Here is a 4,888-nt window from a genome sequence, read left to right as displayed (position 1 = left end):
GGACCATAAATTATTTCAGGGCAGTAATACCATTCACATCTGTGCCCCCAAAGCCTGGCACTCAACTGCTGCTCAAATGCTCAATGACAGTGGTTGGACACCTGGCGTATTAGTCCCTTCTCACACTGCTATAAAGAACTACCAGAGACTGAGTACATTTATGAAGAAAAGAGGTTTAATTTACTCACAGTTCTGCAGGCTGAACAGGAAGTGTGGCTGGGAGGCCTCAGGAAACTTACAATCATGGTGGAATGCAAAGGGGAAGCAAGCACATCTTAACCATGGCAGAGAAGGAGAGACAGAAAGAGCAAAGGGAGAAATGCCACACACTTTCAAACAACCAGATCTTGTGAGAACTCACTATCATGAGAACAGCAAGGGGGAAATCCATCACAACGATTAAGTTACCTCCCACCAGGCCCCTCCTCCAACACTGAAGATCATAATTCAACTTGAGATTTGGGTGGGCACAGAGAGCCAAACCATGTCATTCTGTCCCTCCCAAATCTCATGTCATTCTTACATTTCAAAACACAATCATGCCCTTCCAACAGTCCTCCGAAGTCAACTCATTCCAGCATTAATCCAAAAGTCCAAGTCCATAGTCTCATCTGAGACAAGGCAAGTCTCTGCTGCCTATGAGCCTGTAAAATCAAAACCAGGTTAGTTACTTCCAAGATACAATGGGAGTGCAGGCATTGGTTAAATGCTTCCATTTCAAAATAAAGAAATTGTCTAAAACAGAGTGGTTACAGGCCCCATGCAAGTCCAAAACCCAGCAGGGCAGCCATTAAATCTTAAAGCTCCAAAATAATCTCCTTTGACTCCATGTCTCACATCCAGGATGCCCTGATGCGGGGGGTAGGCTCCCAGAGGCTTGGGCAGCTCTAGCCCTGTGGCTCTGCAGGGTACAGCCCCTGCAGCTGCTCTCGTGGGCTGGTGTTGAGTGCCTGCAGGTTTTCCAAAAACACAGTGAAATTCGTCAGTGGTTCTACAATTCTGGGGTCTGGAGGATGGTGACCCACTTCTCACAGATCTACTAGGCAGTGCCCCAAGGGATCCGGGGGAAGCAGGAATGTCTTACCATGGCAGAGCAGGACAGAGCAAAGGCAGAAGTGCTACACACTTTTTTTTTTTTTGAGATGGAGTCTCACTTTGTCACCAGGCTGGAGTGCAGTGGCGTGATCTCGGCTCCCTGCAACCTCCGCCTCCCGGGTTCAAGCAATTCTCCTGCCTCAGCCTCCCGAGTAGCTAGGACTGCAGGTGTGTGCCACCACGCCCAGCTAATTTTTGTATTTTTAGTAGAGACAGGGTTTTACCATGTTGGCCATGGTGGTCTCAATCTCTTGACCTTGTGATCTGCCTGCCTTGGCCTCCCAAAGTGCTGGGATTACAGGCGTGATCCCCAACACCCAGTCTGTGCTACTTACTTTTAATCAACCAGATCTCACAGAAAACTCACTATCATGAGAACAGCAAGGCGGAAATCCACCCCCAAGTTCCAATCACGTCCCACCAGGCCTCTCCTCCAACCCTGAAAATTATAATTCAACAAGAGGTTTGGGTGGGAACACCAAGTCAAACCATATCACCTGAGTTCTCATCATCTTCTGCCACTAAACCTTAGGCAAGTCACTGGACTTCCATGCCTCAGTTTCTCCATCTGTCAGGTGACTAGAAACAGTGTCTAGCATATAATAGGTACCCAACAAATACTTTTGGATATATAAATGAATGAATAAATGAGTGACTATAAATACATATCTATATCTACCTGCTTACAAATTGAAGATTAGGCTACTGTGATCAAAAGCCTGCTGGAGAACTAATAACTATGCAGTAAATATCAAATATTTTTTAATTTCAGAGTGTAGTAGGCATGACTAAGATGCCTAACAGAATGGCTATTGCAGTATCCTAATATGACTCCCTGTGATCTCCATCTCCTTGTATTCATACTTTTGTGACTCTGGGATGAACTGTGTGATTAACAGAATACTGCAGAAGTTACAGTGTGTGATGTGGGACTGCCAAGGCTAGATTAAAAAAAAAAAAAAGCATGGTCACCTCTACCTTGGGTTTTGCATTGCTTCTTCTGGGAAAAGCCAGCCACCATGTCAGGAGAAGACTCAGCTCTGTGGAGAGGCCTAGAAGAAGAGAAACTAAGACCTCCCACCAACAGCCAGCACCAGCTTGCCAGCCACGTGAGGAGCCACGTTAGAAGTAGATCCTCTGGCCTCCATCAGGTCTTAGAGCAACTGCAGTCCCAGCTGACATCTTGAGTGTCATCTCATGACAGACCCTAAGGAAGAGCCATGCACCTAAACTGCTCCTCAACTCCTGACCCACAGAAACTGTGAAATAGGATAATTTTTTTTTTTTTTTGAGACGGAGTCTCACTCTGTCGCCCAGACTGGAGTGCAGTAGTGCAATCTCTGCTCACTGCAAGCTCCACCTCCCGGGTTCACACCATTCTCCTACCTCAGCCTCCCGAGTAGCTGGGACTACAGGCGCCTGCCACCATGCCCGGCTAATTTTTTGTTATTTTTAGTAGAGACGGGGTTTCACCGTGTTAGCCAGGATGGTCTCGATCTGACCTCGTGATCCGCCCACCTCGGCCTCCCAAAATGCTGGGATTACAGGCCTGAGCCACCGCGCTTGGCTGAAATAGGATAAATTTTAATTGCTGTTTTAAGCCACTAAGTCTTGGGGTAATCTGTCATGCAACAATAGGTAACTATTACAAAGAAAAAACACAACCACCCCCAAAATGGTAAGAATATGAAATGAAGCACACAGAGGTCTTAATATATGGTAGTCTATTTTACCATCAGAGAATCTTCACAAGTATGAGAGAAATCATCCATGTCAGCTGCTGGATACAGGTGGCCCAGGAAGCTTCACAGTGAGTACAGGTTCAATCAGAGGTAGAGAAGCCTGACTGAGCTGGGAGAATATGGTCTGGGCATGCGCTTTCTGCCTCCACTGCCTCTCCCACAAGCCCCCACTGGAGAATAATGACCTCACAAAGTGATCTGAAGAAATAGAGGATACAGTACCAGCCCCTCAGAAAGCTGAGCCAAATTTCTTGCATTGGCCACAGGACTGAGATAGTCCATATAGCAACTTAATGAAAATAAAGGAAAGGTACCCCTTCCTTCCAGCAGGTACAGCCCCACTTCAGGGCACTGGCACAAAGAACAAAATATGGCCTGGGTTTCACTCCCTGTGGCCCTCCTGGTTGGCATCCTTCTGCAGGGCACAGCCAGCCCCTAGACTGATTATATTGATTGACTGGTGTACCCAATTTTGATGCTTTATCTCCAAGCCCTTCTCCCCTACGCCACCATCTCCTACAGAGCTAGGGAGTGATCCACAGACAGCTCCCAGACCTTATGTCAGTACTTGGGGAAGGGTGGAGGCACGTTCTGCCCACACTAGAAGCAGAGTAGGCACTGCAAAGCAGAGAACACAGCCTCGTGCTGCCTGGGACTATGCCAGATGTGTGAGCCCTGGCTCCGAGGGGCAGCCTTTATTTTTAGCAGGTAATCAGCCCTCATTTTGTTCCTTTAGGCGAAGCCCCACCCTTGTCTAAATGGCCCATGTAATTAGTACCTCTCTAGCTCTAATTCCCTCCCTAACTGCCTGTAATTATCATCCAGCTGACCTTTGTTCCCTTAATTGCTGTTTGACTCCTGATCCCTGAATACCACTCTGCCTTCTCGCCCTCCCCTCCCTTCTGACTCAAGGACCTATTGTATACAGTACAGTATTTGTTTTTCCTCACCCTAGGGAGTCTTTGGAATCCCCACTTCTCTGCTATTTGAAACACCTCTTCCTGAAAACAACTCTCATTTGCAGAACACTACTTTAAACTACTTTCTCCTGCTTAGCCTTGCCGGCTTCTTAGAAATCATGTTTCAAACCAAGAGAATGAGTATTACCAGACTCCTTTTATAGGAGAGAAAATGGAGGCATAAAGTGACTCAGGGACTTGCTTATTATTGTGCAGCTAGTTACTGACGGAGAGAGACCATATTACGAGGCAAAAGCTATTTGCACTTGACACTGTAGCCTGTTGCTTCCCTGCTTCTCCCAGTTGGAGAAATTGAACTGCCTCAATGATCCTAGTTTCTGACTTGTGCTTTCTTATCACCAGTCATGCCACTTACACTTGTTTCTAATCTCAACTTTGAGTTTTCTGAATTTGAGGAGTCCTTTTACCCTCTCACCTGCCCCAAGTTACTATATAATAATAGTAAAAGGTATCATTTTCTGACCAACTGTCATGCATCAGGTATCATTCTGAGGTCTTACACAGAGCATTTCATTATAGCCTCCCCTCAACTCTATGAAGCATTACTATTTCCATCCCCTCTTCATACTCAGAGTCTTTACTCCAGCTATTGCTATTGCTTCTCCATCTCTGCATTTTCAACTTTTCTCACTCTAATGGGTCATGCCCATCAGCACGCAAATGTGACTATCTCCCATCTTCAAAAAGTGACCTTTTGACATACATCCCTCCAGTGATGACCTATTATTCTCTCCACTTACAGGGCAATTTCTCAGAAAAAGTCGTCTGTATTTTGTATGCCAATTTCTTCCCTCCATTTTCCACTGAAGCCATTCCAATTCGTCTTTTCTGCCTACCACCCTTTTGTCAAGGTCACCAATGGCTCCCATGTGGCTAAAGCCAATGGTCAATTCTCACTCTTCCTCTTACTTATTAGCATAATTGGACACAGTTGATCTCTCTCTCCTTTTTGACACACTCCCAGACTTCCAGGCTTTCAAGACATCACTCTCTTGCTTCTCCTACCTCTGTGGTCATTCCGTTTTTTTTTTTTTTTTTTTTTTTTTTAGACAAAAATCAGTTTTAATTCTA

At 45.7% G+C, this 4,888-nt stretch overlaps 1 annotated feature.

Annotated features, from left to right (window-relative positions):
• Positions 3,301-4,167: an enhancer, noted in NCBI's record as "OCT4-NANOG hESC enhancer chr11:27817576-27818442 (GRCh37/hg19 assembly coordinates)". NCBI's record gives its function as "activates a minimal SCP1, AML or CMV promoter by ChIP-STARR-seq in naive and primed H9 embryonic stem cells {active_cell/tissue: H9 hESC(naive and primed)}" and the evidence as "EXISTENCE:reporter gene assay evidence [ECO:0000049][PMID:30033119]".

Source organism: Homo sapiens, chromosome 11 (genome assembly GCF_000001405.40).
Source record: "Homo sapiens chromosome 11, GRCh38.p14 Primary Assembly".
Taxonomy (NCBI): domain Eukaryota; kingdom Metazoa; phylum Chordata; class Mammalia; order Primates; family Hominidae; genus Homo; species Homo sapiens.
Note: the sequence above shows the minus strand (reverse complement) of the source record. Positions and strands in the feature narration are given on the sequence as shown.